This window comes from Homo sapiens, chromosome 12 (genome assembly GCF_000001405.40).
Source record: "Homo sapiens chromosome 12, GRCh38.p14 Primary Assembly".
NCBI classification, from domain to species: domain Eukaryota; kingdom Metazoa; phylum Chordata; class Mammalia; order Primates; family Hominidae; genus Homo; species Homo sapiens.
In genome coordinates, this window is record NC_000012.12 from 46536369 (window position 1) to 46554320 (window position 17952).

The 17952-nt window shown below is 40.0% G+C and overlaps 1 long non-coding RNA gene across 5 annotated transcripts in view, besides 1 other annotated feature; it reads left to right on the plus strand.

The window, feature by feature from the left end:
* Positions 1 to 17952, plus strand: part of SLC38A4-AS1 (SLC38A4 antisense RNA 1) — a 268904-nt gene that overhangs the window by 152693 nt on the left and 98259 nt on the right. The window lies entirely within an intron of this gene.
* Positions 13597 to 13746: an enhancer, noted in NCBI's record as "active region_6253". NCBI's record gives its function as "activates an Ori minimal core promoter by ATAC-STARR-seq in GM12878 lymphoblastoid cells {active_cell/tissue: GM12878}" and the evidence as "EXISTENCE:reporter gene assay evidence [ECO:0000049][PMID:35858748]".

The following is a 17952-nucleotide window of genomic DNA, read 5'->3' on the forward strand; positions in this document are numbered from 1 at the left end:
TAATTGGCTTATGATTCTGCAGGCTGTACAGGAAGCAAGGCAGCATCTGCTCAGCTTCTGAGGAGGTGTTGAGAAACTTACAATCATAGCAGAAGGCAAAGGGGAAGTGAGGCGTCTTACATGGCAGGAGCAGGACCATGAGCATGGAGGGGGTGCTACATGCTTTTAAACAACCAGATCTCACTGGAACTCCCTATTGTGATGACAGCACCAAGGGGGGATGGTGTTAAACCATGAGAAACCGCCCCCGTGATCCAATCACCTCCCACTAGGCCCCACCTCCAACACTGGGGATTACAATTGAACATGAGATTTGAGTGGAGACACAGAGCCAAACCATATCCCTGAGCAAAGGTTGCGGGCGTAACAAAGAGTTTGCATGGGGGTTGAGGCTGAAACTCAGGCCGAAACACTGTGGAAGACCCTCTTCTTTAGGGATTTAGGACTTGATTCTGTAAGCAATAGGGAGGTTCTAACCAAGGAAGGGGCCTGACCACATTTGTATTATTGAGAGATGGCCTTGGTCACCGTGAAATCTATGGATTGGTGGGAGGGAGTGCATAGAGAGTGATCACAGGGGCAATGGTGCACAGTTTTGACCATCTCGTGTCTCTGGCATGTCCTAGTGCTTGAGAGTACCCTACAAAGAGGACTGTGTAGAAGCTGTGTCTCTATAGCTTGCAAGAACCTCAAGCAGATATTTTCTTGTGTCTGCATTTCAGATGTTTGTTTTTTAAACTATAACTCAAAGCCAGGAAGACCTATTAGCATCAGGGAATGCAATGATCTAAGTCTTGGATAATTTAGATAGGATTATGCATAAGTGCTATTATTTGTATATTCCTATTGAACATTTTCAGGATATTATTAACTCATTTGAACAGCCCATCAACACAAGAACTAAGAATAAGGTAAAATTTTGTTAAACTCCAGTCAAAAGTAATTGCTATCCTATTACTGAATCATAATGTTGGTATTTTTAAAGGTCGCTTTCAAAGGCACCAAATGATAGGCTTTAACTTTACTAAAACCTTGGTCTCAATATGAAGCCTGTGTTTTAGATGCAGTTTCACAAAATGGTTTTATGTTCGAACCCAAAAGACACACTGATCTAAGGCCCCCATTGTTTTCAGAAGGAAGAAAAATCCTGCTGAATCCAGGAGCTCTTGCTGTCCCTTTTGCCCTCACATGAAACGTCTTTGTGGCTCAGACTCAATGAGCTATGGACCTGTGGACCCTGGTGGCAGTCACACAGTGTCAAGGGTAAGAGGCAGTAATGTTTCAGAGAGAACAACCTTGCAAAAATGAAGACAGAAAGGCAAGCCAGATCTTCTTGCTTTGATTGTGAGATAAAGTTCCAACAGGTGCTGGGACTTAGGTCAAAATTATTAATAGAATGGAAACTCTAATGAGAATAGCAGAGTGATGCTGGGAACTAAGACATGGCTAGCGAGGTCTATGCAATCTCAGATGGCATGTTTTTCACGAGGTCTTTCCTGATTCTCCAGCTGTGATTTTCTTTCTTTCTTCATTTATATTTCACTTCAGGCAGCAATTTTCTCTGCTTTGAATAATATTTGATTTATAGCCCTCAATATGTTATAGGTCTAGAAGTTAAGAACTTCCAGAACATGACTTTTTATCATCTGAGTGCAGGACTGTGCCACCATGCAGTGGACTCAGCAAGGAAAGACTAAATCTAGTGACTGACTACTCCATTACATCTACCCATGTATTTACTTATCCCCTCTCTTGTGCCAGATGGGGTTTATGTTGGAGTTACATGATAAGCCCCTGGAGGATGGGGCAGTGTGTTGTTTACATTGGTTTCTTATAGTCCAGGGCCTTCTATATAGTAGCTGCTCAGTACAGGATGGCTGATGAGGAGTTGGCTTCTAACAGGTTTGATTCCTGCTTCTGTGCTCACAGCATGTGACCTGAGGCAAGGAGTTTAAGCCCCTTTAAATCTCAGATTTCTTACTGGGTTTCTTCCATTAAATAAATTAATGTATTTTTTAAACCCCAGTACCTAGCACCTAGTATGATTGCTACTGTCTACTATTTAATAATTGCCCACTATTATTATAATTGTCCTTAGCCTCAAGATTACAATACACTGTGAAAATTTTATTCCATTTTATCACATCTATATTGGATTACCTTATTTTTACAAAACGGGAACAAAGTACTCTAAAGAATTAACAACATACTAGATATAGCATGCATTCAAGAGAATACAAAATCATGATTATACTAGCCACAGAAATGTTGAAAGAAGGAAATGATTTTTTAGACAAGCTGACAAGTTCACTGGAGTCATACAGAGTCCCATCTTAGACTGTTAGCAATAAAAAAAATACTGCCTATTTGTATTTTTCAAAGCACTTTCACATTTCTCAAAGTCTCATTATTTGATGGCTGGCAAGATCTGAATTCTCTAGGGAATATCTACAATGTAGTTGACACACAGGCAATTTTCTTGGTGTCCTTGACTGCTAGAAACAAGGGCATTCTCAGTCTGAGCCTTAGGCTCCCTGTGCAATTTCAGAGAGAATCTACTTTTCTTCAGTCGATCCCAATGCTTCCTCAGAATATAAGGACCACAGAGTGATTAAGAATGTGGGCTCTGAGATGACCTACTCCCTGCCCCGGGACCTTACCAGTCCCTGGACTAAAAGCTTGTATTCATTTTTAAATTTGGATTTCAAACCAGCTATCAAGATGGTAGGTATTATATTCCTCCTCTTTCTAAGAAGGGAAACTGAGCTCAAAGATGTGAAGTAATTTTGGTAACATGACATGGGTCATATGTGGAAAGGCTGGGATTTGAACCCAAGTTGGTCTTACTCCAAAAGCTAGCTCTTAACCAACATGCAATGCTGCCTCCTCTAATACCAATCACCAGCTGGATGATATGGGCAAGCCATTAAATCTCCCTGAGCTTTGCGTTTCTCATGGGCAAAACTGAGATAATATCTATGTTACAGGATAGTTGTGAGAATAAATTTAGATGACATTTATACACAAGTATTTCTATCTAAAGTAGTCAGACTCTGCTCCCACTTTCCCATGATACCAATATCACAAAACAGCAGGGGACCGTGCATTGATAGCCCATGTGCATCTAACTCCCAGCTCAGTGCACTGCACAGAATCAGTGCTCAGTAAATGTTTGTTGAACAAATTGAATCAACATTTATATTAACCACTTGCAATGCAGCAAGGTACAGTTTCTCACTTCAAGAAACTCAGTTCTAAACAGAAGGAGAAGGACAAGTATGTAAAAAATGAAACAATGTAGAACATGAATGAGGAGTAAAGAAGATTCCTTGGAAAAGAACTCTGGGAGCCAAGTCTTAAAGAATGAGTGAGAGTAAGTAATGTAAAGAAAGGAAGGAAATTTGCATGTTCAAAGGCATGTGGACATGAGGGCTCTTTTAAGAAGCTCAGATGGCATTGGGAGAAAAAAGTGCATAGTGAATGGAAATGGTGTGCAGGACCTTGAAAGCTGTGCTGAGGAATTGGGATTGCAGAAATAAGGTGTGGAATCGCTGAGGGATCATTTTTTTTAAAAATTATACTCTAAGTTCTAGTGTACATGTGCACAACGTGCAGGTTTGTTACATATGTATACATGTGCCATGTTGGTGTGCTGCACCCATTAACTCGTCCTTTAAATTAGGTATATCTCCTAATGCTATCCCTCCTGCCTCCCCTGACCCCACGACAGGCCCTGGCGTGTGATGTTCCCCGTCCTGTGTCCAGGTGTTCGCATTGTTCAATTCCCACCTATCAGTGAGAACATGCGGTGTTTGGTTTTTTGTCCTTGTGATAGTTTGCTGAGAATGATGGTTTCCAGCTTCATCCATGTCCCTACAAAGGACATGAACTCATCCTTTTTTATGGCTGCATAGTATTCCATGGTGTATATGTGCCACATTTTCTTAATCCAGTCTATCATTGTTGGACATTTGGGTTGGTTCCAAGTCTTTGCTATTGTGAATAGTGCCACAGTAAACATACGTGTGCATGTGCCTTTATAGCAGCATGCTTTATAATCCTTTGGTTATATACCCAGTAATGGGATGGCTGGGTCAAATGGTATTTCTAGTTCTAGATCCTTGAGGAATCGCCACACTGTCTTCCACAATGGTTGAACTAGTTTACAGTCCCACCAACAGTGTAAAAGTGTAAAAGTGTTCCTATTTCTCCACATCCTCTCCAGCATCTGCTGTTTCCTGACTTTTTAATGGTCACCATTCTAACTGGTGTGAGATGGTATCTCATTGTGGTTTTGATTTGCATTTCTCTGATGGCCAGTGATGATGAGCATTTTTTCATGTGTCTGTTGGCTGCATAAATGTCTTCTTTTGAGAAGTGTCTGTTCATATCCTTCACTCACTTTTTGATGGGGTTGTTTTTTTCTTTCTTGTAAATTTGTTTGAGTTCTTTGTAGATTCTGGATATGAGCCCTTTGTCAGATGAGTAGATTGCAAAAATTTTCTCCCATTCTGTAGGTTGTCTGCTCACTCTGATGGTAGTTTCTTTTGCTGTGCAGAAGCTCTTTAGTTGAATTAGATCCCATTTGTCAATTTTGGCTTTTGTTGCCATTGCTTTTGTTGTTTTAGACATGAAGTCCTTGCCCGTGCCTATGTCCTGAATGGTATTGCCTAGGTTTTCTTCTAGGGTTTTTATGGTTTTAGGTCTAACATTTAAGTCTTTAATCCATCTTGAATTAATTTTTGTATAAGATGTAAGGAAGGGATCCAGTTTCAGCTTTCTACATATGGCTAGCCAGTTTTCCCAGCACCATTTATTAAATAGGGAATCCTTTCCACATTTCTTGTTTTTATCAGGTTTGTCAAAGATCAGATGGTTGTAGATGTGTGGTATTATTTCTGAGGGCTCTATTCTGTTCCATTGGTCTATATCTCTGTTTTGATACCAGTACCATGCTGTTTTGGTTACTGTAGCCTTGTAGTATAGTTTGAAGTCAGGTAGCATGACGCCTCCAGCTTTGTTCTTTTGGCTTAGGATTGTCTTGGCAGTGTGGGCTCTTTTTTGATTCCGTATGAACTTTAAAGTAGTTTTTTCCAATTCTGTGAAGAAAGTCATTGGTAGCTTGATGGAGATGGCGTTGAATCTATAAATTACGTTGGGCAGTATGGCCATTTTCATGATATTGATTCTTCCTATCCATGAACATGGAATCTTCTTCCATTTGTTTGTGTCCTCTTTGATTTTGTTGAGCAGTGGTTTGTAGTTGTCCTTGAAGAGGTCCTTCACATCCGTTGTAAGTTGGATTCCTAGGTATTTTATTCTCTTTGAAGCAATTGTGAATGGGAATTCACTCATGATTTGGCTCTCTGTTTGTCTGTTATTGGTGTATAAGAATGCTTGTGATTTTTGCACATTGATTTTGTATCCTGAGACTTTGCTGAAGTTGCTTATCAGCTTAAGGAGATTTTGGGCTGAGACAATGGGGTTTTCTAAATATACAATCATGTCATCTGCAAACAGGGACAAGTTGACTTCCTCATTTCCTAACTGAATACCCTTTATTTCTTTCTGCTCTCTGATTGCCCTGGCCAGAACATCCAACACTATGTTGAATAGGAGTGGTGAGAGAGGGCATCCCTGTCTTGTGCCAGTTTTCAAAGGGAATGCTTCCAGTTTTTGCCCATTCAGTATGATATTGGCTGTAGGTTTGCCATAAATAGCTCTTATTATTTTGAGATACATCTCATCAATACCTCATTTATTGAGAGTTTTTAGCATGAAGGGCTGTCGAATTTTGTCAAAGGCCTTTTCTGCATCTATTGAGATAATCATGTGGTTTTTGTTTTTGGTTCTGTTTATATGCTGGATTATGTTTATTGATTTGTGTATGTTGAACCAGGCTTGCATCCCGGGCATGAAGCCCACTTGATCATGGTGGATACGCTTTTCGAAGTGCTGCTGGATTCTGTTTGCCAGTATTTTATTGAGGATTTTTGCATTGATGTTCATCAGGAATATTGGTCTAAAATTCTCCTTTTTTTGTTGTGCCTCTGCCAGGCTTTCGTATCAGGATGATGCTGGCCTCATAAAATGAGTTAGGGAGGATTCTCTGTTTTTCTGTTGATTGGAATAGTTTCAGAAGGAATGGTACCAGCTCCTCCTTGTATCTCTGGTAGAAGTCCGCTGTGAATCCATCTGGTCCTGGACTTTGTTTGGTTGTTAGGATATTAATTATTGCCTCAATTTCAGAGCCTGTTATTGGTCTATTCAGGGATTCAACTTCTTCCTGGTTTAGTGTTGGGAGGGTGTATGTGTCCAGGAATTCATCCATTTCTTCTAGATTTTCTAGTTTATTTGCGTAGAGGTGTTTATAGTATTCCCTGATGGTAGTTTGTATTTCTGTGGGATTGGTGGTGATATCCCCTTTATCATTTTTTATTGCATCTATTTGATGCTTCTCTCTTTTCTTCTTTATTATTCTTGCTAGCGGTCTATCAATTTTGTTGATCTTTTAAAAAAAACCAGCTCCTGAATTCATTGATTTTTGAAGGGTATTTTGTGTCTCTATCTCCTTTTGTTGTGCTCTGATCTTAGTTATTTCTTGCCTTCTGCTAGCTTTTGAATATGTTTGCTCTTGCTTCTCTAGTTCTTTTAATTGTGATGCTAGGGTGTCAATTGTAGCTGTTTCCTGCTTTCTCTTGTGGGCATTTGGTGCTATAAATTTCCCTCTACACACTACTTTAAATGTGTCCCAGAGATTCTGGTATGTTGTGTTTTTGTCATCATTGGTTTCCAAGAACATCTTTATTTCTGCCTTCATTTCATTATGTACCCAGTAGTCATTCAGGAGCAGGTCGTTCAGTTTCCATGTATTTGAGCAGTTTTGAGTGAGTTTCTTAATCCTGAGTTCTAGTTTGATTGCCCTGTGGTCTGAGAGACAGTTTGTTATAATTTCTGATCTTTTACATTTGCTGAGGAGTGCTTTACTTCCAACTATGTGGTCAGTTTTGGAATAAGTGCGATGTGGTGCTGAGAAAAATCAATAGATTCTGTTGATTTGGGGTGGAGAGTTCTGTAGATGTCTATTAGGTCCACTTGGTGCAGAGCTGAGTTCCCTGTATATCCTTTTTAACTTTGTCTCGTTGATCTGTCTAATGTTGACAGTAGGGTGTTAAAGTCTCCCATTATTATTGTTTGGGAGTCTAAGTCTCTTTGTAGGTCTCTAAGGACTTGCTTTATGAATCCGGATGCTCCTGTATTGAGTGCATATATATTTAGGATAGTTAGCTTTTCTTGTTGAATTGATCCCTTTACCATTATGTAAAGGCCTTCTTTGTCTCTTTTGATCTTTGTTGGTTTAAAGTTTGTTTTATCAGAGACTAGGATTGCAACCCTTGCTTTTTTTTTGTTTTCCATTTACTTGGTGGATCTTTCTCCATCTCTTTATTTTGAGCCTATGTGTGTCTCTGCACATGAGATGAGTCTCCTGAATAAAGCACACTGATGGGTCTTGACTCTTTATCCAATTTGCCAGTCTGTGTCTTTTAATAGGAGCATTTAGCCCATTTACATTTAAGGTTAGTATTGTCATGTGTGAATTTGATCCTGTCATTATGATGTTAGCTGGTTATTTTCCTCGTTAATTGATGCTGTTTCTTCCTAGCATCGATGGTCTTTACAATTTGGCATGTTTTTGCAGTGGCTGGTACCGGTTGTTCCTTTCCATGTTTAGTGCTTCCTTCAGGAGCTCTTCTAGGGTAGGCCTGGTGGTGACAAAAATCTCTCAGCATTTGCTTGTCTGTAAAGGATTTTATTTCCCCTTCACTTATGAAGCTTAGTTTGGCTGGATATGAAATTCTGGGTTGAAAATTCTTTTCTTTAAGCATGTTGATTATTGGCCCCCACTCTCTTCTGGCCTGTAGAGTTTCTGCCGAGAGATCAGCTGTTAGTCTGATGGGCTTCCCTTTGAGGGTAACCCGACCTTTCTCTCTGGCTTCCCTTAACATTTTTTCCTTCATTTCAACTTTGGTGAATCTGACAATTATGTGTCTTGGAGTTGCTCTTCTCGAGGAGTATCTCTGTGGCATTCTCTGTATTTCCTGAATTTGAATGTTGGCCTGCCTTGTGAGGTTGGGGAAGTTTTCCTGGATAACATCCTGCAGAGTGTTTTCCAACTTGGTTCCATTCTCCCTGTCACTTTCAGGTACACCAGTCAGATGTAGATTTGGTCTTTTCACGTAGTGTCATATTTCTTGGAGGCTTTGTTCATTTCTTTTGATTCTTTTTCCTCTAAACTTCTCTTCTCACTTCATTTCATTCATTTGATCTTCAGTCACTGATATCCTTTCTTCCACTTGATCAAATCGGCTACTGAAGCTCGTGCATTCATCATGTGGTTTTCGTGCCATGGTTTTCAGCTCCATCAGGTAATTTAAGGAGTTCTTTACACTGGTTTTTCTAGTTAGCCATTCGTCTAATCTTTTTTAAAGGTTTTTAGCTTCTTTGTGTTGGGTTCGAACTTCCTCTTTTAGCTCGGAGAAGTTTGATCGTCTGAAGCCTTCTCTCAACTCGTCATTCTCCATCCAGCTTTGTTCCACTGCTGGCGTAGAGCTGCGTTCCTTTGGAGGGGGAGAGGTGCTCTGATTTTTAGAATTTTCAGCTTTTCTGCTGTTTTTTCCCCATCTTTGTGGTTTTATCTACCTTTGGTCTTTGATGATGGTGATGTACAGATGGGGTTTTGGTGTGAATGTCCTTTCTGTTTGTTAGTTTTCCTTCTAACATTCAGGACCCTCAGCTGCAGGTCTGTTGGAGTTTGCTGGAGGTCCTTTCCAGACCCTGTTTGCCTGGGTATCAGCAGCGGAGCCTGCAGAACAGTGAATATTGCTGAACAGCAAATGTTGCTGCATGATAGTTCCTTTGGAAACTTTGTCTCAGAGGGGTACCTGGCCGTATGAGGTGTCAGTCTGCCCCTACTTGGGAGTGCCTCCAAGTTAGGTTACTCAGGGTTCAGGGACCCAGTTGAGGAGGCAGTCTGTCGGTTCTCAGATCTCAAACTCCATGCTGGGAGCAACACTACTCTCCTCAAAGCTGATAGACAGGATTATTTCAGTTTGCAGAGGTTTCTGCTGCCTTTTGTTTGGCTATGCCCTGTCCCCAGAGGTGGAGTCTACAGAGTCAGGCAGGCCTCCTTGAGCTGTGGTGGGCTCCACCCAGTTTGAGCTTCCCGGCTGCTTTGTTTACCTACTCAAGCCTCAGCAATGGTGGGCGCTCCTCCCCCAGCCTCACTGCTGCTTTGCAGTTTGATCTCAGACTGCTGTCCTAGCAATGAGCAAGGCTCTGTGGGCATGGGACCCTCCAAGCCATGCGCGGGATATAATCTCCTGGTGTGTCATTTGCTAAGACCATTGGAAAAGCGCAGTACTAGGGTGGGAGTGACCCAATTTTCCAGGTGCCGTCTGTCACAGCTTCCTTTGGCTGGGACAGGGAAGTCCCTGACCCCTTGCGCTTCCCAGGTGAGGTGATGCCTTGCTGTGCTTCGGCTCACACTCGGTGGGCTGCACCCACTGTCTGACAAGGCCCAGTGAGATGAACCTGGTACTTCAGTTGGAAATGCAGAAATCACCCGTCTTCTGCGTCGCTCATGCTGGGAGCTGTAGACTGGAGCTGTTCCTATTCAGCCATCTTGGAACCACATCGAGAGATCTTAACTGAGTGTCAGGAGCACATTTCTATTTTTGAAAATTCACATTTGGGAAATGTGCAGAATAGTGGAATAGGAAGAGGTTGGATATACCAGTAGAGTTTAAAGGTTATAATGGTAGTTCAGGGAGGGAAATATATGGGCCTGAGCTATTAAGGCAGTGAGAGAGAGGAGGAAATGAGTTCAGCTGTGTTTAGGTGGTAGAATTCACTGGACTTAAGATCAGATTGACTATGGGGAAAAAAAGGAGGAATGATGTCTAAGGTAGGTGACAATTTTGAGTAACTAGATATATGGTGGCTCCATTAATAATAGGTACCATTTATTGAGTGCTCATTATGTACCTGGCGTACTGCTAAGTGCTTTGCATGCATTATTTTATTTCATCCTCATATCAATCTGCAAAATAGTTATTTTCTCCATTTTATAGATGAAGAAGGTGAAGCTCAGAGCAATTAGGAAGTCTGCCTAGTGTCTCAGATGGAGTAAGTGGTGGTGTTGAGATTTGTACCCAGGTAGGCTCCCAAGCCCATGTCAACAATTACTGTGACACACACAGGCTCTTCCTGTGTTGAGCACCACAGGAAGAGAAGGTTTGGAGAGGGAAAGGAGGAGATGGTGATCACATAGTATTATGTGTTCTACTATCCAACTATTTTGGGTTTTGCTTGCATGAAAATGCATGGGAGCAGCAGTGCTTCCTTCTTATCTGGAGGAATTGGCAGGGTGGGAGGTGGAAGAGGGAGCCTAGAAGGTACCCTTTACAAGCATCCTGTTGACCTCATGGTGTTTCTCTCCTGCCCCCTCCAGAGTAGTTGCTGATAAAGGAGATATAAAGGAGCAGGGTTCTTCAGGTCAGAGTTTCTAGCTTTAGTGGGAATGCCAACAGAGAAAGGGACCCAGTGTCTGAAGCCACAGGCAAGGAAGCTCAGGGCTCCATAGAGGTGGACAGGCAGCTTACATCTCATCTCATGGCTAAGCACATTAACCACATAAGCTTCCTCTAACTGCTGAACTCACAGCAAATAAACACACGCCCACACAACCAGTAAGTAAGTATCAGTGGAGCAGATGCAAATGAAATACAAGTGATGAACTGCTGTCAGTTCTTGGGGTATTTGGCACCTGCGTCAACTCCAGAAGGAATGTGACCTCTTGGGTAAGGAGGGCATGATTTCAGAGGCACCAAGAGGACCTTTCCACCAAATTCAGCTTTTTAATTTTTTTTTTAAATCTGAAATTCTACAATTATAAATTCATTCCTCCCCTTTCAAAATGAAGCACTTTATACTAAAGAAGAACCCACTTAAAGCTTCATTAATTATTTCTTCCCTGAAGAAGAATCAGTCTTTTGGGTTCTATCTTGAGAACACATTTTGAGAGTAGGGCAGGGAAGGAATGAAATTTCTGTCAGCAGAGAGATGAAGAAGGCTGGCCTGAGAAGGCAGGAATATACAAACTAACTGATGAGGGTTAACCAGTATGCCATTTTTATGCAAGTCAGTACAGGTTTCTCAGTAAAGTACGGGCAAATAGAAATGTAATTTATGAATATTTCATCATTCTTTGTCATATAGGCCAGCCAGAAAGGGCAAAAAGAAAAAGATATTCAGAGATGTGACTTCTTGGTGTCCTTCTGCACTTGACAGAAGCTACCCCTTTGGGAAAAACTGGATAGTTTGTAGATCTGCCACAGAAAATTCAACATCTCTAAAGGCATACTAGTGCTAAATGGACATATTATTACTTTTGCTATCTCACCTATTGGCATGTGCTTGTGTGTGAGGAGGGATTATGGACAGGATGGGGAATAGGAGAGTGTCAAGAATGAATGGGCATTGCCCAAGAAGGTGAATCAGCTGACTGTTCAATCTACCTGGAAGTAAAAATAACTGGGGAGCAGAAAATCTTATGCATATTTTAATTACCTTGTCTAGAACATGAAATGACAAGAATGTGTACTATATTTATTGGGCTACTGAATTCTCTATTTCATGCCCCTAGGCACTCCCAGAAGTCTGATTCTATTTCCTTGAAAAAATACCAAGCATTTCTCCTTCAAGAATGATTGAGGGGTTGCCTTCTGTTGTTGCTTTACTAACCACCTCCCTCAACCAAACACCCACAGGCAAGTTGCCTCTCATTCTCCAATCTAGGCAAAGAGTGAATCTTTTGTTGTTATTTGCAGGAAATGGGACACAGGAAATGAGCCAATCAGAATCAGCATTAGGCCATTTTTTTTCCCTTGTCCCTCTTTCTCAATCTTTTTAATTGGGAAAAGTACTTGTTTTAAAATCTAGTAAATATGATACAAATTGAACATCCAACTATAAGAAGAATCATCAGAAAAAAAATCAGGATTTCTCTTCAAAGTTTACAGAGACTTAATATAACTCCTTTTCTTAATAGTTATTTTTCTTTGAATTAGGCAGTGGTAACTAAAGCTAAAACAACCACCACCACAGTGGTAATAAAGGCTAAACGACCTTCCACTGCCCTTGTTTATGCTTTTCTCATCAGTTGAGCTTTCCGTTTCTTCAAAGTCCCACAGAAATGGCTGGCAATTTTCAATCATCAAATCAAAGCCCTTTGTTGGAATTGTTTCTTTGGTGTAACGCAGGATATGCTGCCAGTAATTTGATCAGTTCAGTCATTTCCATAATTAGAACAAGAGCACGTCTTCCTAAAGTATGTGCTTATTCCATGGTCTGAAGTCACACAAAAGGGAATGTGCAAAGCCCTTATGTTGTGTGGTTCTAAAATAGCAGCTGTTTTTTATATATTTACCTCTTAACAATTTGCCCACCATCCTAGGTAGACAAACTTATAGCTCTGCTCTATCTGCTGATGACTGATGAAATGCAAGTCAGAGCATTTCACTTTAACTATATTGTTTGTCTGTTTAATAGGTGTGGCATGCATACCCACTCATATAAGACTCATTCAAAATCTTCCTGGGTTCCTCAAGAGCAGAGGGAAGGCAACACTTAAATACTTTGAGTATTCTCTCTTCATATTATTTGTGTACCTGTAGAGCTTTATGCCTATGACAACCTTGGTGTAATGTGGTAACAGTCTCATGGGATTACCAAGGTTGTAGGTTCCCTACCCTCACTTTAAAGAAGGGGAATTTTGGCCGGGTACGGTGGCTCACGCCTGTAATCCCAGCACTTAGGGAGCCCAAGCTGGGCAGATCACGAGGTCAGGAGTTCGAGACCAGTCTGGCCAACATAGTGAAAACCCATCTCTACTAAAAATACACAAAATTAGCCGGGTGTTGTGGTGTGTGCCTGTAATCCCAGTTACTTGGGAGGCTGAGGCAGGAGAATCGCTTGAACCCAGGAGGCAGAGGTTGCGGTGAGCCGAGATCGCACCATTGCACTCCAGCCCGGGTGACAGTGTGAGGCTCTATCTCGAAAAAAAAAAAAGAAGAAGAAAAAAAAAAGGAGGTGGGGGGTGGGAATTTTGAGCAGTGGGTGCATTTATCTGAGACTATTTGTGGGGTAGTTGAGATAGCTGTGCTCCAATGCTCAGCTCACACCACATCCAAATGTCTTTCTCATTGTCATTTCACTGTCTTCTTGTGGTCTCCCTGTTCTGTTCTCTCTTTCCTCTCAACCATCCTCCACACAGCAGTTAGAATAAACTTTCTCACATCCTTTCATCATGTTACTCCTCATTTTCTAACTTGTAAAATTCAGACATCTCAGCTTACCCTTCCTGACAACTATCTTTGTGTTATGGCAGACTTGTTTAACATGAATTTCTCTGGTACCATGAAGATATGTTCCAAGGCCCCCAGTGGATGCCCGAAACTGCAGTTAGTACCGAACCCTATATATGCTATGCTTTTTCCTGTACATACGTACCGTACAGCACCAGCGTACTGGACAAAGGGATGATTCATTTCCTGGGAGGGGTGGAATGGGATGACACAAGATTTCATCACACTACTCAGAATGGCGTGCAATTTAAAACTTATGAATTGTTTATACATTTTCCATTTACTATTTTCACACTGCAGTTGATCCTGGGTAACTGAAACTGAGAATAAGGAGGTGACTATTGTGCATACTTTGAAATGCTGAATTAACTGTCTTGTCACTGCTCTGATGACTTCTTTCTCCTCAAGGCCAGCATGAAACCCTCCTTCCTTCTGAAACGGTGATGAAAAGTGCCTTTATCCAGGAAGTCTTCCCTGATGGATTTCAACACCTTTCTATCTAATTTAAATACACTTTACCTAATTTTGCAACAAGATAAAAGAACTTTCTAAGTGTCCTCCATAATCCTACCACCCTAACACAACTTCTTGAACTTCTCTGTTTCCTTCCAAGTCTCTCCTACCTGCATATAAACTTTTCATGGTTGTGATGTATACAACTTGTATGATTTTTGTCATTTAACAATATTTTGTAACTTTCCACACCACTATACTACCTTCATTTTTAGTAATGATAGTACATTTTTTATGGGTAGTGAGTGATAGTAGAGAGAGGGAGAGAGTAGAATTTGTAGCCAGCATATGTGTAACCTTGGGCAAGGTACATAAGCCCCTTGGAGCATCAATTTGTTCACCCGTGAAACGGGGATGAAATGTATGTAAAGCACATCATACAGTACCTGACATTTGACAAATACTGGCTGTGATTCGTTACCAAGTTTAATTAAGCCATATGCACTTGTTTTTTATGGTTTACTGCTTTGAAAATTTTTGTGACGATTTCATGGGCAGTTCCCAGACAATTGATAAGCTCCTCTAAAGATGGGAACTTTTTTTAAATTTTGTATCACTTCCTAGGTCTTCTGTTAAAAGATGGAGGTCTCCCTCAGTGGACTGTCAATCGTTCAATGCAGTGGCTGACTGCATTTCATTCTAAATAATTTTTCTCTTCAAATTGAAACCTAGTCACTAGGTTTCTGTGCTCTAAGCCCTTTAAACCTAGTTATACGTTGACAAAATAGAAGTAGCTTTGGTATCCTTTTAATTCCTACATCATCCCTATCCCCTTTTCAGCTGAGTAAAGCTGAGTCTTTTGCTCTAACCTCAGTACCTTAACTCTAAAAAGAAACCAACCAACCAACCAAACAAACAAACAAACACTTGGACAAACAGCTTCGCCTTCATCAAAAGGAGTGTGTCAGGCTGGGCGTGGTGGCTCACGCCTGTAATCCCAGCACTTTGGGATCAAAAAGAATCTCACTACTGTTAAAAAAGTCAAAAGGCATTCTTCAGACTAAATTGGTGTCTCTTTTGCTTTGTTGCTTTTTCTTCCTTTCTTGAAATCTTCTGGAATGATTGAAACCTAGGAAGCAGCATGATTTGAGATGACAAGGGTTTAGTCATCAACACACCTTCTGTAGATGCATTTCTAGCTCCAAAATGACATGGAGATAGAGCAGGGCCAGTTCAGGTCTGATTTTTCCACATTAATTTATATCCTAAACTTTAGACTAAGGGCACCATTTCACATAGTGCTGTACCAAATTTTAGGAGAATCATTTCCTTCACAGTAGAATGTCTATCAAACCTATGTGCAATGTACTCTGCAATAATAAAGAAGCATTTTGCTAAAGCATGAGGAACTGAGCCTCTTGTTTTTGAAAAGTAGTTATGAAATCATCTCTTTTTGTTTTAAATCCAAGTAGACTAAATTTCTGATTGAAAAGAATTGAAGGTTTTGTTTTGCTTTGTTTTGAATATCACTCCCACCAGGAATTATCAAGTAGAATTTATTCTTAGAATATGAAAAGGGGTAGAGATATATTTTCAACATGCTCTCTAGATCATTGAACCAAAAAACCATAATTTTTGACATGTTTCAGCAGAACAATGGTACGAATAAGAGGCCATAGAACATGGTGGATAAGAGCACAGACTGGGTTTGCATCCAGGATCTGCTCCAGGACCTGGCTGTGTGTAATCCCTGTGTACCTCAATTTCCTCATCTGTAACATGGCGATAATTTCACTACCACTAACACTACCTATCTCAGAGGGTTATTAGAATGATTACACAAGTTAATATTTATAAAGTGCTTAGAACATTACCTTGGCGTATGTAATGGGTAAGCTGTTACTATCACCACAGATATAGGATTATTTATTTAATTGATGAATAAAAGTGGTATATATTTATGGTGTATAACATGATGTTTTGGGATATGTATACATTGTGGGAAGGCTATATTGAGCTAAATATATAATGTATATATTACCTCACCTACGTATCCTTTGTTTTCTGTGGTGGGAACACAAAATCTCTCTCAAGGGTACAATATTTTGTTATTAACTATCATCACCATGTTGTAGAATAGAGCTCTGGAACTTGTTTTTCCTGTCTAACTGAAATTTTGTATCTTTTGACTAACATCTCCTGAATCTTCCCCTCACTCCTGCCTCCAGCCCCTGGTAACCACCATTCTACTCTCTGCTTCTATGTTTGACTATTTTATATTCCAAATATAAGTGAGGTTATGCAGTATTTGTATTTCTCTTCCTGGCTAATTTCATTTAATGCTATGTCCTTCAGGTTAGATGTAGGATCTTTATATTAAAAAGACTGAAAGACGGTTTTCCTGTAAATATGTCCCATGTTCTTCTAGGAAAAGTCCTTTAGGTCTTGTCTTCCTATCTTCTGGTTTTAAATTTGTACCAACATTTCCTCTGTTTCACTAAATGAGGACTCAGTTTCATCTGGAAATCTCAATTCTAATCATTATCTAAAAGCCTCAACTTACAAATAGCATGCTATACTGGAAAAGTATTTTTCAGGAATCCCTCGATGATTAAAATGAACTGATATACAAATTAGAGAAGAAACAAAAGCATTCAATAGTGAAAATACAGTATTTTCCGGATCATAATAATTATGTGTTGTAATTCTATACGTATCAGTTTGTAATTTTCTGTTTTGTGATTATTCAATCAACCCTTGTCTTCATTTTTAGACTTTAAATTCCACAAGGATAGGGACTGTGCTTCGGTCATTATTAAATTCCAGCACCCATTCTCTGATATATAGTAGGCATTCAAACATAATTGTCAAATGAATGAATGAATACATACATGGCTTAGTAATAAAAATGATCCTTTGCAAGTCAATGTTTTTATGTAATAGTCTTTTAATAAGTTCACCTGTACTTAATAGGGTTATTCATACTCTTAATATTTCTATTAAGAAAGTAGAAGACTGACAGAGGTTAAAAGCGGCTCATTAACTTAGCAGAGAGGCAGGCTTGAGGAGGAGCCTCCAGTCTTCTGAGCCCCAGTTTGGGTTTGTTTCCGGTAAGATGACAAAGGATTTGGAGAATGAGGAAATGCCACCTTATTTCCCTTGTTAGTAGTTTTCCTTTCTTTCCCCCTGCAATAGTTTCATAACTTGCAACCTATAGATGCAGAAAGAAGAAGGGAGAGCATCTTCAAACAGTTAGTTAGGACTCTCCTTCTGGGAGGAAAGTGGATATCAAAGTACAGGATTGTTATATCCTCATGACTCAGAGCCCTGCATCCCAGGGGTGGTGACAAATCTGAAGCTCTGATGAAATTAGAACATACTGCTCACCCCCAGGCAGGTAGGTGTCTTGAGTATCAAAGGGTTAGTATCAACAGTGACAGTATTTAAAACGAATGTGCTATCTTACTGAGAAATTAACATGTAGGCAGATGTATAACTTTTAATTTAGTTATTTACTAAATAAATAATGTTTTATTTAGTGCCTGAAAATATCATACATAGAAAGATAGTTTTGACCATCTGGAAACTATTTTGGGGAAATTAAAAGTTTGGAGCTCAATTCTATCAATAATCCCCTCCTGCCTTTATTATTATTATTATTATTATTATTATTATTTCCCTGTTGCCTTGTCCTCAAATCAGATCCTAAAGCTTGTTTCCTATAAAGCAGTTCCCAACAAATTTGTAAGTCAGACTCTGTCCAATGTCCTCTGATATTTAGACATTCCTCTCTGATTTTGCTCTGAGTCACATGAACATATCACAGACATAAATGTTCTTGCTTTTTTGCTACTCTTAGAACATGTGGATATGATTTACTTCCTAAAACAGGATTCTTTGAACACCTACTTTCTACAAAATCCAACTCCCATGAAATCTGAGAGAGGTTTTCCTCTAAAGTATAAACCACAAGCATAACCAAATGAATTTTTTTTATTATACTTTAAGTTCTAGGGTACATGTGCACAACGTGCAGTTTTGTAATTTTTAAAAATCAAATTAGGCCATTAGAATA